General features: G+C 48.9%; 5 annotated features.

Moving 5' to 3' along the window:
* Positions 4,048-4,665: an enhancer, noted in NCBI's record as "NANOG-H3K27ac-H3K4me1 hESC enhancer chr17:41656377-41656994 (GRCh37/hg19 assembly coordinates)". NCBI's record gives its function as "activates a minimal SCP1, AML or CMV promoter by ChIP-STARR-seq in naive H9 embryonic stem cells {active_cell/tissue: H9 hESC(naive)}" and the evidence as "EXISTENCE:reporter gene assay evidence [ECO:0000049][PMID:30033119]".
* Positions 4,048-4,695: a biological region, named in NCBI's record as "NANOG-H3K27ac-H3K4me1 hESC enhancer GRCh37_chr17:41656377-41656994".
* Positions 4,646-4,695: an enhancer, noted in NCBI's record as "active region_12246". NCBI's record gives its function as "activates an Ori minimal core promoter by ATAC-STARR-seq in GM12878 lymphoblastoid cells {active_cell/tissue: GM12878}" and the evidence as "EXISTENCE:reporter gene assay evidence [ECO:0000049][PMID:35858748]".
* Positions 6,759-7,053: an enhancer, noted in NCBI's record as "tiled region #2376; HepG2 Activating DNase matched - State 5:Enh, and K562 Activating DNase unmatched - State 12:CtcfO". NCBI's record gives its function as "activates a minimal TATA promoter and a strong SV40 promoter by Sharpr-MPRA in HepG2 and K562 cells {active_cell/tissue: HepG2 | K562}" and the evidence as "EXISTENCE:reporter gene assay evidence [ECO:0000049][PMID:27701403]".
* Positions 6,769-6,888: a silencer, noted in NCBI's record as "silent region_8561". NCBI's record gives its function as "represses an Ori minimal core promoter by ATAC-STARR-seq in GM12878 lymphoblastoid cells {active_cell/tissue: GM12878}" and the evidence as "EXISTENCE:reporter gene assay evidence [ECO:0000049][PMID:35858748]".

Raw genomic sequence — 21,656 nt, 5'->3', positions numbered from 1 at the left:
AGCCGTAGTTTGAAGACAAGTTGGCCATTGATGACTTTAGCAAGAGCAATTTCAAAATTGACCAAAGTCTGCACCTCATTAAACCACAGATCATTTCCATGGAAGGGTGGAAAGCGAGTTGAGGAATCCATGGGAGGTGAGGAAGTGGAGGCAGTGAGTGTGGACAGCTCCTTCGATAAGTTCTGGGGAAAGAGGAAAGAGGTGGTAGTATGTGGGAGCCACAGGGTCCAGAGGTAGCGAGAAAATGAGCAGGCTTTAGAAAGTGAGAGAGACTTGGGTAGCATTTTAGATTCGAGACGCAATGGAAAGAGAAGTGAGATCCCAACTGGGCAGCACAGGAGCACCCTGTTCAGACCCCAGCCACAGAGAGCCTTGGTCAAAATTCAAGACTCGTTTTCTCTCATGGTGCTTAGGTTCCCCAGTCAGACCCCCAGAACCCATTTCCCACATAATCCACCAGAAGCATGGTACAAATTATGCATGAGAAACACACTCCCTGTTCCAACTCAAAGTTCTAGAGAATATCTCACCATCTGAAGGATGCTGGAAGGTGGGAACAAGGCTCCCAGGAGTGGGCAAGACAGATCTCTATTCTGGTCTGGCTCATTTATCTACAAGGAACAGAGGTCCCCTTAAGTCACCTCAAGGAAAAGGGGAGTTTGTGGCAAGGATATATGTGGCTAGCAGTTTAGAAACAGAATGGGAATGGGAAAGCCACTGAGAAGGGTGACGGCGGTTGGCCCCTGACTCGTGGTCACTCTGCTTCTCTCTGGACATCTGTCCTCTTGTTCTCCTCTCTCTGCCAACAGCTTCTTTCACTCTGTTTTCTCACTTCCCTTGTCACTTTGGCTTAATAAGGCTTTGGCTTTTCATCCTCAACCTCTTGGAATCTCTTTCAACTACTATCCCACCTGCTAGTGGGTCCAACTTCTGTTTCCCAGTTGAGACAGGAATGTGACTGACCCAGCTCCTGGTTCAGGGCAGGGCTTTGGGTCACTAGCCAGGCTGTAGTTGGCCGTCTTTAGATAAACTGCCCACCTCTGCTCCAATCACTGGGGGCAGTGAGCAGAGACAGGGACTTAGGACACCAACACTGTTTAGCCTGGTCCCTCCTACAGAGGCTGGAATGAGCAGGCGATACCCCAAAGCATGTCTGGCACAATAAATCTATGTTCCTGGCCGGGCGCGGTGGCTCACGCTTGTAATCCCAGCACTTTGGGAGGCTGAGGTGGGTGGATCACTTCAGGACAGGAGTTCAAGACCAGCCTGGCCAACATGGTGAAATCCTGTCTCTACTAAAAACACAAAACAATTAGCCGGGTGTGGTGGCGGGCACCTGTAATCCCAGCTACTCAGGAGGCTGAGGCAGGAGAATCGCTCAAACCCAGCAGGCGGAGGTTGCAGTGAGCCAAGATCACACCATTGCAATCCAGCCTGGGCAACAAGAGCGAAACTCTGTCTCTAAATAAATAAATAAATAAATGTTTCTTTCTAAGCCAACTGCCTGATGACATGGTCTGAATTGGGGGAACAACTAGGGATGGGAAATGACAAGGCTTTGAACCACTATTCAAGGGTTCTTATGGTAGTGATCACCTCTTATAGACATTTGAGATTATTGCATGAAGATCAGGAAGAGAATCTGTAGCAGAGAATTAGGAAGAAGATGGTGGTGAATGCCCATTGCCCCCACTACACACATCATGGCTCCCTCCACCCAGAGATCAAAGGAGTTGCCTCCTCTCCAGAGGGCTCAGGAGATGCCCATGCTCAGTGCCCTCCTGGTGTGCTGACTGCGTGCTGGCCTTTAGGAGCCCGCCTCCTCCAGTAAGTGCCAGGCCTGGGGAGACCTTGGATGTAAGCCCGAGGGAGTGTCCTGGACCTTGGACCGCAGGCCCACCCAGCAGGGTGTCCTGTCCCCAGCACAGTGGAAAGGTCTTCAGTCCCCTCTCCCTGCCCTCCAGCCTTCAGCTGGACTCTCCCAGATGTCACTGGCTATATTTTCAAAAATAGGAAGAATTCCAAAACCAGATTCCAAGTGCTATACCTCCCACACCCTCCCGTAGCCCCACCAGCCTGCCAACCTTTTGAGGCAATTATAATTAGAAACCAGGGTCAGGAGCAGTGGCTCACGCCTGTAACCTCAACACTTTTGGGAGGGCAAGGCAGGAGGATCCCTTGGTCCCAGGAGCTCAAGACTAGCCTAAGCAACAGAGAGAGAGAATTAGAAGCCAGTGTGTGTGGAAGACAACATCAGCAGACATTGTTCAGAGACGTGCAAACCACAAAGGGAGCCAGTCTGTGGAGGAGGCCAAAGAGTGGGGACCTTAGCTGACCCATCACCCCTCCTGTATTCCGGCTTCTTTCTCCTCCAGCCCTTCTGGACTCCAAGGACCTAGCTCCACAGGAAGCTTAAAGTGAGGTGGAATGTTCGCCACTGTTATTATTAACAGAACATCCGCTAACATTCTAATTGAAAATTTAACTCTAATTATTCCAGTTTACCAGGAATGCAAGCAAAAGCAGGACCAACTGTGATGCACCAAATAGATACACGTGAAAAGACAGATAAGCAAATAGGAAGAGACAAAGCTGGGACCAGTGAACCAGGGGACCCCGGGACATTTATTCCACTCACAACTCAAACACCATGTCGCCTCCCACCTGGAGAACCTTCTACCCCTCAAATCGTCCCCAAATATACATCCTTTCCCACTGCCCCTCTGCTCTTCCCAGCCCTACACTAGCCAATGATCCCTACTTCTTGCTCAAATCAGAGCTGCAATCAGAGATTTTACTGCTGTGAATACAAAAAATGCCTAGAGTCTTTTTTTTTTTTTTTTTTTTTTGGAGATGGAGTCTTGCTCTGTCACTCAGGCTGGAGTGCAGTGGCGCTCCAGATCTCAGCTCACTGCGACCTCTGTCTTCTGGGTTCAAGCAATTCTCCTGCCTCAGCCCCCCAAGTGGCTGGGATTATAGGCACCCGCCACCACGCCCGACTAATTTTTTTGCATTTTTTTCAGTAGAGACGGGGTTTCACCATGTTGGCCAAGCTGGTTTCGAACTCCTGACCTCAAGTGATCTGCCCACCTCGGCCTCCCAAAGTGGTAGGATTACAGGCGTGAGCCACCATGCCCGGCCTAAGACTGTCCTTTGAAAATGGTGCTTCACCCTCCACAGAGCATGTGGCAGTATGCAGCACAGTCTAAAAAGCCACAATAAATAAACATGGTGGCAATATTTTACTGAAATGTTTGGCAGGGAGAACCTTTATTCTTACCTAAAAACAACTCGGATAGGTTATAAGGAAGAGAGCAACACTTGCATGCATATTACATAAAACACCATCTTCAAAATCATGCAGGCTAAATACAATGCTGTATCCAGGATTAGATCCTGGAACAGAATGAAGATATTAATGGAAAAACTGGTGGAATCCAAATGAAGACTGGAGTTAATTACTAGTAATGTACCAACGTTAATTTCTCAGTTTTGACAAAAGTACCAGAGTTACATAATATGTTACCATGAGGGGAAACTGGGTAAAGGGTATATGAGAACTATGTGCTATCATTGCAGCTTTTCTATAGGTCTAACATTATTCTAAAATGTAATGTTCATTAAAAAAAAAAAAAAAAGCATGTGGCTGCTTCCAGCTTTCTGAATCCCCACCGCACCCTCACCACTCCCCAGCACAAGGTCATCGTCCTCCCCAGCACAAGGTCACCGTCCTCCCCAACAGAGTTCCTTGGGCAGCAACCACTAGAAACCCCACAAAGACCAGCTGGGGCCAGAGGCAGGATGTGTGGTCCTGGGCAGGTCTGAGACAGATCAAACACAAGGTAATCAGTCTGCAGAACCACAGACAACACAGACCTACGCCATGGAATTCCAGATCATTCCAGATCTACAAGTCATTGGTTCATTCCATAAGTATTTATCATAGCACATAGCACGCGCCAAGCACCGTGCTAGGCTGTCTTGAGAATGGAGGTGTGGGGAAAGAGGGATGAGGTACAAAGATGCATACCCAGAGAAGGAATCTCCTCCCTTAAGGAAGCAGTGAGGGGAACAGACGAGCTCCACACACAAAGGGACGGGAGGAGAGGGATAGACACAAAGCCTGCTAGAGGTGATCAGGGAAGGCTTCACAGAGGAGGCAGTATCAGTCCCAGCAACTGTAGCCCAGTTGCTCCCCGTCACCCAAAGACAGCCACACCTGATCCCCTGGCTCAGGCAGCTGGAAAGAGGAGCTGAGAAAAAGGAGAGTCATGCTCTCAGCAAACATCAAGTGCTGTAAGCATCATAAAATCATCATCATCATCATCACCATCAGACACTGATGGCCCAGTGGGAGGCCTGGGACCCTGAAGAGAGCCCAGGTAAGGGGCAAACAGGCTTGGAGGAGGCAATTGCCTAGGGCAGTGGTGTGGGGGTGGGGGGCTGCTTCCCCATACCTGTAGCTAGCAGGGCCGCGGGGTAAGGGGCATGTTGACACAGCTGGTAAGAAAGGCTTTGTCCCTGCCTCATTAATCACTTCAGCACAGGAGCTCCGAGGGAGGGGACGCCCCAGGGGCACTGGGCTAGCTCTCACGGGGGAGCCCCTCAGAGGCAGAGAGAGGTGGCCCGGCTTCAGGCCCAGGAGCCAGGGGAAGGTCTGAAGAGGGCAGGATGGCGTGGAAGGAGGCTGCCCAGGCCCTAGGGACCTACGGGCCAGGGGATTTCCCAGCCAGGATGTTTGTCGCAGAACATCAGCCTTCCTGCCCAGAGGCTAAAGCACTTCCAGCAGGCAGCCCGCAGATGGTAACCCCCTAACAAGAAGGTCCCAGGAGGGGCATATATATTTTCCTTTCTCATTTGGCCAAGCCAGTGTCAGCTGCTTGCCATGCGATTCCTGACCCTCCTGCCCGGGTGTGTGTGTGTGTGTGTGTGTGTGTGTAAAGGGTCACAAGCCTTTACTGAGAACAGAGAGGAGGTCCATCCACCTTTGCTCTGAATGCAGCAAGGGAGAGGATGGGGAAGCAGTGGAATTGTTTCCACTTCTATTATTTACTATTCTCTCCACAAACACTTATGGAACACCTACTATGCGTCTGGCACTGTTCTAGTGACTGGGAGCAGAGAGAACACAGAACAGAGAGAAGGTCTGCTTTTCTGGAGCTTGCCTTCTAGAGGGGGCAGCAGAGAATGGGAAAACATTATGTTCACCAGAGTGGTCAGGCAGGCCAACACCCTTCTGGGCCAACTGAGCTCAGACCTAGTTTCCAGAACCACCCTCCCTGGGCATCCTCTTCCTCCCTCCCAGCCCTCACTGAGGCCTCTCCCAAATCTGAACGTGGAGGCCCCAAGGTGGGCTGGCAGCCGGAAGGCATGAAGAACTCCCCAGGATCCCCTGTCTCTAATGAAAGAGAGAAGCCAGTTCCGGGCAGCTCGCGTCCAGTTTCATTGTAAATCCTCTAGACTGTCGGATGGCCAAGTGGCCCAGGGTCTCCTCTGCCCTCTCTCCTCTGCCTGGGGGGTGAGGGGCTCTTTGCCTCTCCCTCTGTCACTTCCTCACTCCTTTCTCTTTCCCTCCCGCATTCTCTTTCATTCTTTCTCCTCCTTTCTTCTTTCTGCTTCCCCTCCCCAGCCTCTGTTCTCTCTCTGAACCCCCCTCCCCTTCTTCCTGTCTTGCATTTTCCTGCCCAGGAATCAGACCCCAGACAGTACCTAGGAAGTCTGCGGCCTTGCCTAATAGAACCGTAATAGTCCTCAGGGAGGCGCGATAATGACATCCTCCTTAAATAAAAGGACTTAATGGAGATTTCCCAAATTTGAAAACCACATTTCCACTAGCAACCCATTCAGCAAGCGACGGCTCTGGAAAGGAACTCGTGGGAAGCTGCAATGGGGAGGGGGTGAAGTGGCAGGAGGCAAGGAGTTTGTGCAAAGAAGGTTCTATTCATAGGGGGCTTTCTGTGGCAGGACAAAGAAGCTGGTCTGAGGACACAGATCATAAAGGTGGGCCATCTCATCCCTCCTCACCCTATTGGGCCAACTCCTTAAGAGAAGAGGCTCAGCATCAGGAAGTCCTGGATGAGCTACTTCACCCCTCTGAGCCTCAACGTCCTCAGCTGGGAGTTGGGTGTAATCTTCTCCCAGTTACTCAACGAGGGTCAGGAGATTAGCACTCACCTAGTTCCTGACATGTAGCAGAAGCCAAATGCACTTCAGGCTGCCTCCTTAACAAACACAGCCAGACGGGGTCCTCCTAATCCTGGGACTAAGCAGACAAACCAGCCCAGCCCACCCCACCCATTCACCCTGGACTTAAGGGAATAACAAGCTATTGCTGGGGAGGGGGTGGTGGAGGGGAGATCATGGGTTTCTCATCGCCTCTGTCACTAGGATACTGATAAACCGTTAAGTGAGGTGTGGATATAGAGTCAAGATCTTGGGGACTCTGGGATCCCACAATTTATCTCAGGTAATCATGTAAACCTTTTTGGGTCCCACTAGCTCCACTGAAAACAGAGATGCAAAGACTGAACCAAGGACTCTGGAGCCCCCAAGTAATTCCCACTACCCCCCAAACCCAAGCCAAGGATGTGAATGAAGCTAAGGGAAGAGCAGTATGGCAAATGCGTGTTTCATGAATAAACTGTCAGGAGTCCCAGATAAAGGGCACAGCTCTGCCACCAACTCATTCTGTGATATTGGGCAAAGCTCTTCCCCTCTGTGGGCCTCCATTCCCAAGGTGTAGAATCATGGAATTAAGTATTCCCTTTCTAAAAAGAATTTAAACTGGAGGTAAAATTCTTCCCATCTAGGCCTCGTAGCAGTGGAGGATGTGGTTTGTTTGCCAACACTGCCACCTTGTGGCAGCAGCACACAACTCCCGACAGACCTCTGGACTTGGCACCCTGTGGTCAAAGCCCAAGGGACACACGCCCCCTGCCCACCCCACCCCGTTCTACAACGGACACGCATTCCTATCAGCAGAGCGACTCTGTTTCAAAAAATCCCTCACTCACAGCTTGTAACATAGGATGCTCGTTTTTGCAAATAAGACCCTGTCTTGGAAGAGTAAAAGAACTACCATTTCCAGCCCAGCGCTGTGGCTCACTCCTGTAATCCTAGCACTTTGGGAGGCGGAGGCGAGCAGATCACAAGGTCAGGAGTTTGTAGACCAGCCTGGCCAATATGGTGAAACCCTGCAAAAATTAGCAGGGCATGGTGGCACATGCCTGTAGTCTCAGCTACTTGGGAGGCTGAGGCAAATGAATTGCTTGAACCCAGCAGGTGGAGGTTGCAGTTAGCCGAGATCATGCCACTGCACTCTAGCCTGGGTGACAGAGTGAGACTCTGTCTCAATAAATAAATAAATAAATAAATAAATAAATAAATAAATAATAAAAAACCTACCATTTCCAAGCTCCTTTTTTGTGCCAGTGACCACGATAAATATGTTATACATACCTTGTCTTGTTTGATCCTAAAAGCAACACTGTGAGGGAGATATTATCGGCCCTCATTTTACAGATGAGGAGACTGAGGCTCGGAGAGGTAAAGTGATGCCCAGTTTCACACAGCTAGAACGAGATGACCGTGAAACTCCGAGAAAGCTCCCCTAACTCTAGAGCTCAGGCGGCCTGCCCAGGAATGAGTATTCATTATCCTCAGCTACATCAGGCTCCATCTTCACAGGCCTCTGCAGTTGAGGGGGTCACTGAGTTGAAGGGGATGAGAGAGCGAGGTCTCTAAGGAACACCCCTGCCCTACTCCTGGGATGGGAGTGGAGGAAGCCTCACCCTAGCCTCTGGGCTCACCATGCTGACTTAGGGCACATCAGTGCTTTCTGAATGCTCCCTGAAATGCCAAAGAAAAACCACCAGACCCTAAAAAAGGCGTAAACTCATGACTCAGAGGAACCAGGGACTCGACTCCTGTGTCTGGGGCATATTTGTCAATTTATTCTTTTACCACTAAACACCCCCCACCAACCTCCCAGAGTCCATGGCCAATCTGAGGGGGTGAATGAAGACAGAGACCCATCTGGTTCTCATACTGTTAGGAAAAGTGATTCTCCTGGTGCGTTCCTGTGTTATAGGAACAGGACCAGCCCAGTTCCAAAAATTATATATTCATAAAATTGCTTATAAGCAACCCCCACAAACATATTAGAACATCTTTCACAACCCCCACTGCATTTAACCACTCCTATCCCCATAACAGCTGACTTCCCATAAGCAACACGGGCAGCAGCAGGAGAGAAGGAAGGGGGGAGCTGTGAGGATGCCCTTTACCTCTATCTGGGGATATGTATCTGTGATCAACTAATCTTAGCTTAGCTAATCTTAGCTAAGCTAATCTTAGCTGATTCGTGTGAGCTTTGTGGCTTCTTGAAGCACAGTCACCCACCTGTGGGCCCTGGAACTGTCCCAAATAGACCAGGAAATTGTCAATATCTCCCCTACAGTCGGCTGATCTAGATGACATAAATACCGTGGCTCTGTGACTCCCGTTTCTAAAGAGAGACTGTAAAACTCAAAGATTAAACAATAGCAATAATAATAATAAAGGGTGCATGTAGTCACTGGACAGAGAGTTCACCAGCAAAAGGTTGTGTCCAAAAGCAAATGAAAGGAGGAAAGGCACAAGTCTTGCTCCCTGCAACCCTCTGCCCAAGCCAGGCCCTGTCAAGCTCACCCCAATTCCATGTAAACATGCCCCCTTTTAAACTTACTCTAACATTTTCACATTTATTTGCAATGCATCAGCATGTCCAAATGTCCTTTACTGAAGACATTGTCACTGTCTGTTGGTGACGTTCTTTAGCAGCAGCCTTGGCTCTGTGAGACAAACTCAGCAGCTACACACACAGACACAGACACAGACAGACACAGTATGTGCAGCCTGGTGCTGCTGGTGACAACAGGCATGGCACAGGCTGTGCAGCATTCCCAGAACCAGCACACACTATCACAAGAGCTGCTCTCCTACCAATGTGCTCCCAAGTTTTTCTGTTTAACATAGCTTTACCCTGAAGCCCACCAGCCCACCACAGTGTCCCTCGTTCCCTGCCCTGCTTGATGACAGCGAGCTGGAAGAGTCGCTGAAGCAGTGTGCAGGCCAAGCGAACGCCACTGTGCCACGCGAACGCTATTGTGCCATGCGCTTTACCTTATCTTCAGCCGGTTTCTTGGGGACAGGTTTCGCTTCCTTTTAAACTCTAGAGGAGTGGCTCCTGCTAACTGGCAGGACGGTGTCAGGAGGCCTGGTCAAGGGCAAGGCATTGACCTCTAGCTCCCAACACCCAGGTCAGAGCAGGTGTTATAACTCGGAGGGAACTGAGGCAGAGACCTCCAGCTCATTTCTCTGTGGGCCAGAGAGGTGTCATCTCTAGGCAGCACCCCAAACAGAGCCTCAGGCCAACCCCACCTGCTGACCACCTAGGAGGGAACACGTGCACCCCAAAGCACCAGTTTGAACAGGCAAGTGGCACAAAGAAATTAGACAGCAGGTACTCCTCAATATGGTGTGGGGAGACCCAGGGGCCCAGCGAAGCTGCAGAAGCTGCAGGCTCTGCTGCCGACTGAGTTGGGGCAGAGGCTACTCTGGGCCTCGAGAGGGTTAAAAACTTGCTCTTGGATCCATGGCTCCATTCCAAAGGGTCTCCGTTAACACCAGAGGTCTCCTGATATCTCACTCTCTTTAATAGATTTTTCCCATTGACGTCTCAGTTTATTGACTATCATTTCCTTTTCTGCAGGGGAGCTATTTTCTGGGTCACTGATCCAACCAACTTAAAAGGGGTTGCATTGATTAAGTTTTATTGGTGGTGACTTGCACAGAGATGGGCTGATTTGCTCCTACCTGCTAACAGCTCCTTTGTTCCCCCTCCCAGCCCCCACCCACCCTGTTGACTTATGAGAGGGACAAAGCTGGAGCACTTAGGTGGTGAGCTTTATGAAGTGATGGGGAACTCCTGGCTGCCTTGCCTCAAGGTCTCTGCAGAGTTAGGTTAAAGTCCATTTAAAAAAAAAAAAAAACTCTAAAGAATTGACGTTCACAGAGCTGGAGTAAAAATAGAAGCAAGTCCAGAAAGTCACCCATTCATTTAGTGAGCCTTTCCTGATCACCTCCTATGTGGGATAATCATAAATAACACCTTAGTGACGTTTGCAGGTTTCAAAACTCTTTTGAACATATTATCTCACTTGATGCTTGTAACTGAGTGATAAACACAATGATTATTATTCCTACTTCGTGGATGACAGCCCAGAAGCAAAGAGAAGAAACCTGTCCTAAATCACATAGTTAGCTAATGGCAAACTCAAAAATTTAAACCAAGGGTTGTTTGACTCCAGAGTCTCCATCCTCCTCTACTAAGAGTTCAAGGGGCTACCAAGAGGAATTAGGCAAAATCCTTTCCTTTTTTTGAGATGGAGTCTCACTCTGCTGCCCAGGCTGGAGTGCAGTGGTGTGATCTTGTCTCGCTGCAACCTCCGCCTCCCAGGTTCAAGTGATTCTCCTGCCTCAGCCTCCAGAGTAGCTGAGATTATAGGCGTGTGGCACCATGCCTGGCTAATTTTTGTATTTTTTTAGTATAGATGGTTTTCACCATGTTGGCCAGGCTGGTCTCGAACTCCTGACCTCAAGTGATCCGCCCACCTGGGCTTCCCAAAGTGCTAGGATTATAGGCATGAACCACCACGCCCAGACGGCAAAATTCATATTTGATGTAAGTATATGATTATATCATATACTTTGATATTGATGCATGTGCAGTGCATGTACCACTAATTGACAAAGGGGAGATGGGAGACGTGGCAGTGGAAACCCTGGAGGTGTCTAGTTCAACCCCCCACAACTTACAGGTGAGAAAAAGTGAGTCCCAGAAATGTAAAATAGTTTGCTCAAGGTCAAACAGCATTCATTCATTCATTCATTCATTCATTCAATGTGCCAGATACTTGTATTTGGTCTCACTAGAGCCTAAGAGGGTTCAGCAGAGGAGTGGCTGGTTGCCTGCAGGAACACTCATCTATATAGAGATAGCATCTGTAGGCAGCCTTTGATCCTTCTCTACTCTGAGTCACTGATCTCTTTTCACCACAGGCCCTCCTGCCCCAGTCCATTACCACATTCAGAGTAGCCCATTTCCGACCAGGACCCCAAAGCTCAAAGCCCCCCAACTTGGTCTTGGTTCAACATTGGAATGCCCCTCCAGTCCCACTTTTCTCCCTCATCCTGTGCTGCTCAGGTAAACCTTGTCTAAAAGGACAGCTGTGCCAGGCACGGTGGCTTACTTGGGGAGGCTGAGGCAGGTGGATCACTTGAGATCAGGGGTTCGAGACTAGCCTGGCCAACAAGGTGTAACCCCATCTCTACTAAAAATATAAAAATTAGGCTGGGTGCAGATCCCAGCACTTTGGGAGGCCAAGGTGGGTGGATCACCTGAGCTCAGGAGTTCGAAACCAGTGTGGCCAATGTGATGAAACCCTGTCTCTACTAAAAATGCAAAAATTAGCTGGGTGTGGTGGCTGACGCCTGTAATCCCAGCTATGTGGGAGGCTGAGGCAGGAGAATCGCTTGAACCTGGAAGGCGGAGGTTGCAGTGCGCCAGTGCACTCCAGCCTGGGCGACAGAGCAAGACTCTGTCTCAAAAAAATAAAAATAGGGCCAGGTTTGGTGGTTCACGCCTGTAATCTCAGCACTTTGGGAGGCCGAGGCGGACAGATCACGAGGTCAGGAGATCGAGACCATCCTGGCTAACACGGTGAAGCCCCATCTCTACTAAAAATACAAAAAAAAAAAAAAAAAATAGCCGGGCGTGGTGGCGGGTGCCTGTAGTCCCAGCTACTTGGGAGGCTGAGGCAGGAGAATGGGGTGAACCCGGGAGGCGGAGCTTGCAGTGAGCTGAGATTGCACCACTGCACTCCAGCCTGGGTGAGAGAGTGAAACTCTGTCTCAAAAATAATAATAATAATAATAATAATAATTAAAAATAAAAATAAGGCTGGTTGTAGTGGCTCATGCCTGTATTCCCAGCACTTCGGGAGGCCAAGGCGGGCAGATCACCTGAGGTCAGGAATTCGAGACCAGCCTGGCTAACATGGCAAAACCCTGTCTCTACTAAAAATACAAAAATTAGGCCCGGCATGGTGGCTCACGCCTGTAATCCCAGCACTTTGGGAGGCTGAGGTGGGCAGATCACGAGGTCAGGAGATCGAGACCATCCTGGCTAACATGGTGAAACCCTGTCTCTGCTAAAAATACAAAAAAAAAAAAAAATAGCTGGGCGTGGTGGCGGGCGCCTGTAGTCCCAGCTACTCAGGAGGCTGAGGCAGGAGAATGGCGTGAACCCGGGAGGTGGAGGTTGCAGTGAGCCGAGATCGCGCCACTGCACTCCAGCCTGGGTGACAGAGCGAGACTCTGTCTCAAAAGAAAAAAAAAATACAAAAGTTAGTCGGGCATGGTGGTGGGCACCTGTAATCTCAGCTACTCAGGAGGCTGAGGTGGGAGAATCACTTGAACCCGGAAGGCAGAGGTTGCTGTGAGCCAAGATTGCACCATTGCATTCCAGCCTGGGTGACAAGAGCAAAACTCTGTCTCAAAAAATATATATAAAATAATAAAAATAAATAAATAAATGAATTAAAGGACTGCTACAGCTACCAGAGCTCTTCTGAAAGCAAAATGCCAATGTGTGCAGAACAAGAATCAATTGTTAGAATTCAGTTCAGCCACCATGAGTTATGGGTGAGAAGTATGCGTTTGCAGGAGTGAATATTTGTGTAATGACTCTGGCATAGGAGGTGGGATGGTGAGGAACTATGTGGGTGTCTGTGCAGTTCATCCTGTCCATTCTCCTGATTGTGTGCTCATTCATTCATTCATTCATTCAGCAAGCTTCTAGGCCAGTATCTCCTGCGAGGCAAGGACTGCACTAGGATCTGATGATTCAGAGATGAATAAGACACAACCTGTACCCAAGAGAAACTGATGGCTGAATGTGGGAGAAAAACACATGGGCAAAGAATTATAGCTCAGTGTGGTGAGCATCACAGTCAAGATATTTGCAAGGGATGGCTGGGCGTGGTGACTCATGCCTGTAATGCCAGCACTTAGGGAGGCTGAGGCAGGTGGATCACTTGAGGCCAGGAGTTTGACACCAGCCTGGCCAACATGGCAAAACCCCATCTCTACTAAAAATACAAAAATTAGCCAGGCGTGGTGGCACACAACTATAATTCCAGCTATTTGGGTGGTTGAGGCACAAGAATCACTTGAATTGGGGAGGCAGAGGCTGCAGTGAGCTGACATCATGCCACTGTACTCCAACCTGGGCGGCAGAGCAAGACTCTGTCTCAAAAAAAAAAAAAAAAAAAAAAAGATATTTGCAAGGGAGAGGAAATGGGAAAGCACATCATAAAAAGCAAAGTATGAACTGAGGACATAACAAGGACAAATAAGGGTTCAACAAGTAGGCCAAGAGTGAAGGAGGGCTGGGTGTGGTGACTCATGCCTATAATCTCAGCACTTTGGGAGGCCGAGGTGGGCGGATCACTTGAGGTCAGGGGTTCGAGACCAGCCTGGCCAGCATGGCGAAACCCTGTTTCTACTAAAAATATAAAAATTAGCCGGGTGTGGTGGTTGGTGCCTGTAAGCCCAGCTACTCAGGAGGCCGAGGCAGGATATCGCTTGAACCTGGGACGTAGAGGTTGCAGTGAGTTGAGATTGCACCATTTCATTCCAGCCTGGGTGACAGTGTGAGACTCTGTCTCAGAAAAAAAAAAAAAGAGAAAGAAAGAAAGAAAGAAAGAAAGAAAGAAAAGAGTGAAGGAGGATGTTCCAAGCAATAGAGAGAAACATGCAGAGGTGTGGTGTGTTCTTGGAAGGAAAACAGTCAAGTTCAAGGGAGGGAGAGAGAGGAGCCCACAGAGGTGGGCCAGGAGATCGCACTGGGCAGGCTCTGCTGCTGGAGACTGAGACTGGGGGAAGCCCGATCTCCAGAAGGGCCAAGCTGGGTGACAGAGGGTGGAAGGAGGGAATGTTCTTTCTCAAATCTCACCAACGAGACCAGTTGTTTTTCACAGAAAAGTCCCAAAGACAGGCCCTTATTCTTTGGGCCACCATAACTACGCCCAGTTGTGAAGTGTGTTCCCTTGGACAGAAGTCTTCTCCCAGCTCCAGCTGAAATCACCACATTTCAACCTTCTGCATCCCTCTGTCTTTCTCACTCTCTCCTTCAGGCCCCTGTAATGCAAAATGTGTGTTTTGTTCCCTCTGAATGAGAGAATTAAATCATCTGAATAAAATAAATGTCTTCTCGTAGGCAGGAAGCTTGACACATTTCAGACAGAATTGCAGCAAACCCTCCAGAAACAAATAGAGGGCCTGAGATCCACCCAAATGAGCAACAGCTAAAAGGGTCGGCCCGTTACCAGAACCCGTTTTCTCTGCATAAATCTGCAGCAATCAAGGGACATGCATTACAAAAACACATAAAAGCTGCTCACTGGAGGAGCAGCAGCAAGTGTTTGCCAGGCACTCGAGCCAGAGAAATGAGTCCCAGCACCTCTGCTGTACCACACACTACACACGTGCGCCCACACAGGCCCCCAGAAAGTCCCAAATCGCAACTCCAAAGGGAGAGGAAAGTTTCTGGGCTCTGTTTTAGGGTGGTTCTCACAGACTCACACACACACTTATACCCACTTACACACATCTCACACATCATACATATACACACATATACACAATCATACCCATGCACAGGTACACACACACCCATCATATCTACACACACATCTCGTATACAACCCATACATATACTGACACATACTCATACACCTCACTCTCACAAACACAATCATAACCACTTGTACATACACACAGCTCACACCACACATATCCTCACAAATACATCCACTCATGCATACACAAAATTAACACGTTCACTCACACACACTTCCCACCCACAAACACACCATTAATACACCCTACACTCAATCACAGTTGCTCACACATGCACACACATCTCACACATGCATACTCACACATAAACACCACACAAACATCTCACACACACACCACACATATACACTGTCACACACATACACTCACACATTTTCTGCGCTCCAAGGAAGCAAACTTTTTTTTTTTTTTTTTTTTTGAGACAGAGTCTTGCTCTGTCGCCCAGGCTGGAGTGCAGTGGTGCAATCTCGGCTCACTGCAACTTCCATCTCCGGGGTGCAAGCGATTTTCCTGCCTCAGCCTCCCAGGTAGCTGGGACTACAGGCGTGCACCACTATGCTCAGCTAATTTTTAAATATTTTTAGTAGAGACAGGGTTTCACCATGTTGGACAGGTTGGTCTTTAGCTCCTGACCTCAAGTGATCCGCCCATCTCGGCCTCCCAAAGTGCTGGGATTACAAGCATGAGCCACTGCACCCGGCCAACCAAAACTAGCACTTTCTTTTTTTTTTTTTTTTGAGACGGAGTCTCACTCTGTCGCCCAGGCTGGAGTGCAGTAGCGCAATCTTGGCTCACTGCAACCTCCGCCTCCCTGGTTCAAGCGATTCTCCTGCCTCAGCCTCCTGAGTAGCTGGGATCACAGGCGCACATCACCACGCTTGGCTAATTTTTGTATTTTTAGTAGAGACGGGGTTTCATCATGTTGGTCAGGCTGATCTTGAACTCCTGACCTTGTGATCCGCCCGCCTCGGCCTCCCAAAGTGCTGGGATTACAAGCGTGAGCCACCGCGCCCGGCAAAACTGGCACTTTCTATGTCAAGGTGCCAGATGTGTATGGATGAGAGGACCTTCTGTCCCACCTGCAAGGCTTGTGGGTGATGTCCTTTGCTGCTCAGCACAGCAATAGTGCTTGGATGACATCAGTTCTGCTTCCTGTCCCTAAAACTAAAAGTGAACACTAAAAGTTTACTGCTTCACCAAGATGGCTTTAGGGCTATTTCTTTTTCTTTTTTCTTTTTTTTTTTTTTTTTTTTGAGATGGAGTGCTGCACTGTTGCCCAGGCTGGAGTGCGGTGGCTCAATCTCGGCTCACTGCAAGCTCTGCCTCCCGAGTTCACGCCATTCTCCTGCCTCAGCCTCCCGAGTAGCTGGGACTACAGGCGCGCCACCATGCCCGGCTAATTTTTGTGAGTGTGTATGTGTGTGTATTTTTAGTAGAGACGGAGTTTCACCATGTTAGCCAGGATGGTCTCGATCTCCTGACCTTGTGATCCACCCGCCTCGGCCTCCCAAAGTGCTGGGATTACAGGCATGAGCCACTGCGCCCGGCTGGGGCTACTTCTATGTACATTTTATTGGATTAGAACATCTGCCTAGAAATGTACCCAGTGTAGGTCTGATGCCTTTTCACGAAGTCCATTCCCAGATCAAGAGACAGAACGTTTCCTCAACCCCAGAAGCCTCCATGTGTCTCCTTCCAGAGGTAACCACTCTCCTGGCTTCTTTATTTATTTATTTATTTTTGAGATGGAGTATTGCTCTGTTGCCCAGGGTGGAGTGCAATGGCGCGATCTCGGCTGGCTGCAACCTCTGCCTTCCAGGTTCAAGCGATTCTCCTGCCTCAGCCTCCCGAGTAGCTGGGATTACAGGCACCCACCATCAAGCTCAGCTAATTTTTGTACTTTTGTAGAGACAGGGTCTCACCATGTAGGCCAGGCTGGTCTTGAACTCCTGACCTCAGGTGATCTGCCTGCCTCAGTCTCCCAAAATGCTGGGATTATAGGCATGAGCCACCGTGCCCCGCCCACTCTCCTGGCTTCTAATAATAATAGCACAGATTAGCTTTGCCTGGATTTGAACTTTATATAAATGTAACTAGAGGTGCACTTGGATGACCCATAATGACATCCACATCAGGAAATTCAGCACACTGCTGCTGCAGGAAACAAGAGCATAGAGGAGCTCTAGTCTCTCTAGAAGCCAGACTTTGTGCTGCAAGATGTGGGCCCTGGAAAAAGGGATGTCATGTACAACTTAGACTCTTTCCTTCTTGAGCATTTGTTCAAAGTGGATTGAGACTCAGGAGATCCAGATGAGAGGCCCAGTTCTGCCGTGAACTCCCTGGTAAACCTGGATAAGTCACTTTGCCCCTCATCTGTACAACAGGGGTGAGAATGATAATAACTGAGGTTTCTTGAGCACTTGCTATGTGCCAAGGACTGCTCCAACTCATTTATCCTCTAGACCAGGGGTCAGCAGTTATGGCCTCCTACCTGTTTGTGTACAGCCTGCAAGTTGAGAATCATTCTTACATTTTTAAAAGGTTTGAAAAAAAAAATCAAAAGAATAATACTTCACAGCTGGGCGTGGTGGCTCAACCTGTAATCCCAGCACTTTAGGAAGCCTAGGTGGGAGAATCCCTTGAGGCTAGGAGTCGAGACCAGCCTGGGCAATGTAGCAAGACCTCTGTCTCAACAAAAAATTAAAAAATTATCCAGGTGTGATGGCATGTGCCTGTAGCCCTAGCTACTTGGGAAGCTGAGGCAGGAGGATCACTTGAGCCCAAGAGTTCCAGCCAGCAGTGAGCATGATGGTGCCACTGTGCTCTAGTCTGGGCAACAGAGTGAGGCCCTGTCTCTCTCTTTTTTTTTTCTTTGAGACGGAGTCTCGCTCTGTCACCCAGGCTGGAGTGCAGTGGTGCGATCTCAGCTCACCGCAACCTCTGCCTCCCGGGTTCAAGCTATTCTCCTCCCTCAGCCTCCCAAGTAACTGACACTATAGGCCTGTGCCACCACACCTGGCTAATTTTTGTATTTTCAGTAGAGATGGATTTTCACCATGTTGGCCAGGCTGGTCTCAAACTCCTTACCTCAAGTGATCTGCCCACCTTGGCCTCCCAAAGTGTTCGGATTACAGACGTGAGCCACCATACCCGGCTGACCCTATTTCTAAAAAAATAAATAAATAAACAAATATTGGGTACTGGGCTTAGTACCTAGGTGATGAAATAATCTGTACAACAAAACCCCGTGACACAAGTTTACCTATATAACAAACCTGCACATGTACCCCTGAACCTAAAAGTTAAAAAAAGGAATAATACTTTGTGACATATGAAAATTACATGAAATTCAAATGTCCGTGTCCATAAATAAAATTTTGTTGGAACACAGTCATGCTCATTCATTTACATCTATGGCTGCTTCCAGAGTAGGTATGACAGAGACCTTATGGCCCTCAAAGGCTAAAATATTTACCACCTGACCTTCTATAGAAAAAGGTGGCTGGGCCGGGCACAGTGGGTCGTGCCTGTAATCCCAGCACTTTAGGAGGCTAAGGCGGGTGGATCACCTGAGGTTAGGAGTTCAAGACCAGCCTGGCCAACATAGTGAAACCCTATCTCCACTAAAAGTACAAAAATTAGCTGGGCGCAGTGGCGGGCACCTGTAATCCCAGCTACTCCGAAGGCTGAGGCAGGAGAATCACTTGAACCCAGGAGGCGGAGGTTGCAGTGAGCCAAGATCGCACCATTGGACTCCAGCCTGGGTGACAGGAGCGAAACTCTGTCTCAAAAAAGAAAAGAGAAGAAAAAGGTGGCTGACCCCTTCTCTAAACTGTGTTCTAACTCCCCTCTCACTCTAGACATTCTTTTTATCATCCCCATGGCCCAGATGCAGAGAGGTTAGATCACCTGCCAGGGAAACCCATCTTGGGGTGGTAGCAGGCGGGCTGGCTCCAGTTCACTCCCTCCAGGAAACACCCTATGTGAGGCTCTCTGAGGTGGTAGACATGGCATTGCTTTGCAAACTGCAGAGAAGTTTACAAATGCTAGATCTGTACCTCCCTTTCCTCCTGGTAGGCATCAGTGACTGAATCTACACTCACTCCCCAGATCAAAATGCCCCAACACCCTACACATACCACACCCAGCCCAAAGACCTCCTGATATGATTAATTAGCACTTTTTCTACAAGCTTCTACTTCGGAAGGAGAGGGTTGAGTCTACCATACTCTCCGTTCATGGCCTGTTGTCATAACTGGTCTGTGTAGTGCCCTGCTCTTGGTTTCATTCATTCATACATTCCCTTTTTTTTTTTTTTTTTTTTTGAGACAGGGTCTTCTCTGTCACCCAGGCTGGAGTGAACTGGTGAGATCAGAGTTCACTGCAGCCTTGACCTCATGGGCTCAAGCAATCCTCTCACCTCAGCCTCCTAACTTGCTGGGACTACAAGGACATGCCACTGTAATTTTTTTCATTTTTTTGTAGAGATGGGGTCTCACTGTGTTGTCCAGGCTGGTCTTGAACTCCTGGGCTCAAGCGATCACCCCACCTCAGCATCCCAAAGTGCTGGGATTATAGGCATGAGCCACTGCACCCAATCTGTTTGCTGAGTTCTTTCAGGATGGGTAGTTATTTCGTAGGCATGGGGTTTATTTACATAAATAGCATTGTGTTATATATTTTGTTTCCTACAATTTTTTTCCTCTACAACATTTGTTTGCTCTTTCCTTTCCTGTTGAGGTATAACATATATACGGTAAAGTGAGTAATGTGCACTGATCTGAAATATGAAACTCGATTTTTAGCCTACATATACATCTGTGTAATCATCACCGAGATCAAAATATAGAACATTTCCAGTACCCCAGCCAAGTTTCCCTTGTGTCCCTTCACAGTCAATAAACTGCCCCCTTCCCTGCCTGAGGTACCCACTCTTCCAGCTCCCATCTCCACCCATTCATTGAATTTTTTCTTGAACTTCCTCTGCATGGAATCGTACCTGTCTTTCATGTCTTGCTTCTTTTGCTCAACTTGTCTGGGAGACTCCCCTATGTCGTTGCGGGTAGAGAGAATTTGTATTTTTTGCTGTTGCGGAGCACTACGTTTTTGAGATCTATCGCGGGGCTCTGTGTACAGGCGTCAGTGCTTCTTGCTGCTACCTGGCGCCCCTTGGTGCTTCCACCCACTTGACCTTTCCACTCTCCCAGTGAGGGACACCCAGGGTGCCTCCTATGAGGCTGCTCTGATCATCCTCATCCACATCTCCTTATGGAGCCGTGTGAACATTTCACTGGATGAATACCTAGGAAAAGAATCTTTTGGGCACAGGGAATTGACTGCCCCAGCAACTGACAAACTGCTGAAATTGACTAGCTCTTTTCCATGTCTACCAAGGCAGGAGCAGGGAGAAGGGAAGAAGAGCTGCTGCTTTGGTGATCCTCCTCTGACCCCACTCTCCCCTCCCCCTTGCCCTCCAGGAAAACCTTTCAGCTCCCCCACCTCTTCTTCTTGCAGGACCCAACTAAGCGCTTTGCTTCCTGAATGTCGCTGCCTCCGCAGCAGCCCGCACCATCCTGCTGCATTATAACAGGACGATAATCAATGAACTGCTAACTCTATTGCAATAAAGGAGCGAGCCCAACCTTATATAATTCTTTTTAATTGTTTTCTCACATTACAAGGTTTTTTTTTTTTTTTGGCTAAACTTATTCCGCCGTAAGTTATGTCGTTTAATTTCTCAAAGTGCTAATAATTTAATTGCTTCCTTCCTGCAGACAAAGTGCCTGAACTGTCCTCCCTCCCCGGCACGGAGATTATAAAACGGAGTTGGCAGGAATACCTAAGAGGAGAGTCTTTTTGGCGGCAGGATTTGATGGGAAGCAGCTTTCTCAGAAGTCAGTGTGTGAGGCTGGGAACCTGGCTTGGGACTTCAAAGGGGCATGGGGCCCAGCCAAGCCTGCCTAACTCGAGAGGGTTTATGATAATCACAGGGGAGGGGAAAGGGAAGAGCTGAGATTAGAGAGGCTGGACGAGGGTGGGGAACACTAAACATGGAGCTTCCCGTCCTGAAAGGCTGTCAGGGAAGCTGGGCTCCATCTGCAGCAGAGGGATTTAGATCAGACTGGTAGGCGGAGTGGGGGCATTCCTGAGAGTCAGGACTTCGAGATGCTGACTGGACCCGGGACAGGGTGGGGAGGTAACATCTGATAACAGGAACTAGCCTTTATTGATCCCTTACTGAAAGCCTGAGCTTCCCTAGAGCATCTCAATTTACCTGCACACCCAGGTCTCTGAGGCAGGTACTACTAGTATTGCCGTTTTACAGATGAGGAAACTGAGGCATAGAAAGGTTCCAGGCCCCATAGCTTGTTGGTGAATGATGAGTTGAGTGATGGCATCACATCTTATGTGGCAAAAGGGGGACAGGATCAGGGATGAGCGACTCTTGAAGATTCCAAGGCAGTGACCTCCTTCCTCTTGCCTAGGGTCTGATTCAGTCAGAATTGCTTTAACCTACCCATGCTCCGCCACCCTGCCCCCGACCCCAGTGACTCCCATGATCTATAGGATATAATACAAGCTCCTAAACAAGGTCTTCAAAATGCTCACACTCCCTAGCCTGAGGGTAGGAATTTTGAGGACTACCCCCAAATTTGTCTCTCCCCTAGGATTTCCTTTCTGGCTCCTACACCTTGGCAAATGCTGCTTCTTTAAACCTGGAACCTTCTCCCCTCTCCTAGGAAGAAATTTCATTCATCCCATGAGGACTGGCTCAAATGCTGCCTCCCCACTTCCCCAAGCAGAGCCCCTCTCTCAAATCCCTGGGACACTCAGAGCACACCTCTGCTGGAGAGAGATCTGATTTGCAGGGTTGCTGGCCTGAGCTTACTCATTGACTCCCCTTGCTATTCACT

Source organism: Homo sapiens, chromosome 17 (assembly GCF_000001405.40).
Source record: "Homo sapiens chromosome 17, GRCh38.p14 Primary Assembly".
Lineage (NCBI taxonomy): Eukaryota > Metazoa > Chordata > Mammalia > Primates > Hominidae > Homo > Homo sapiens.
Note: the sequence above shows the minus strand (reverse complement) of the source record. Positions and strands in the feature narration are given on the sequence as shown.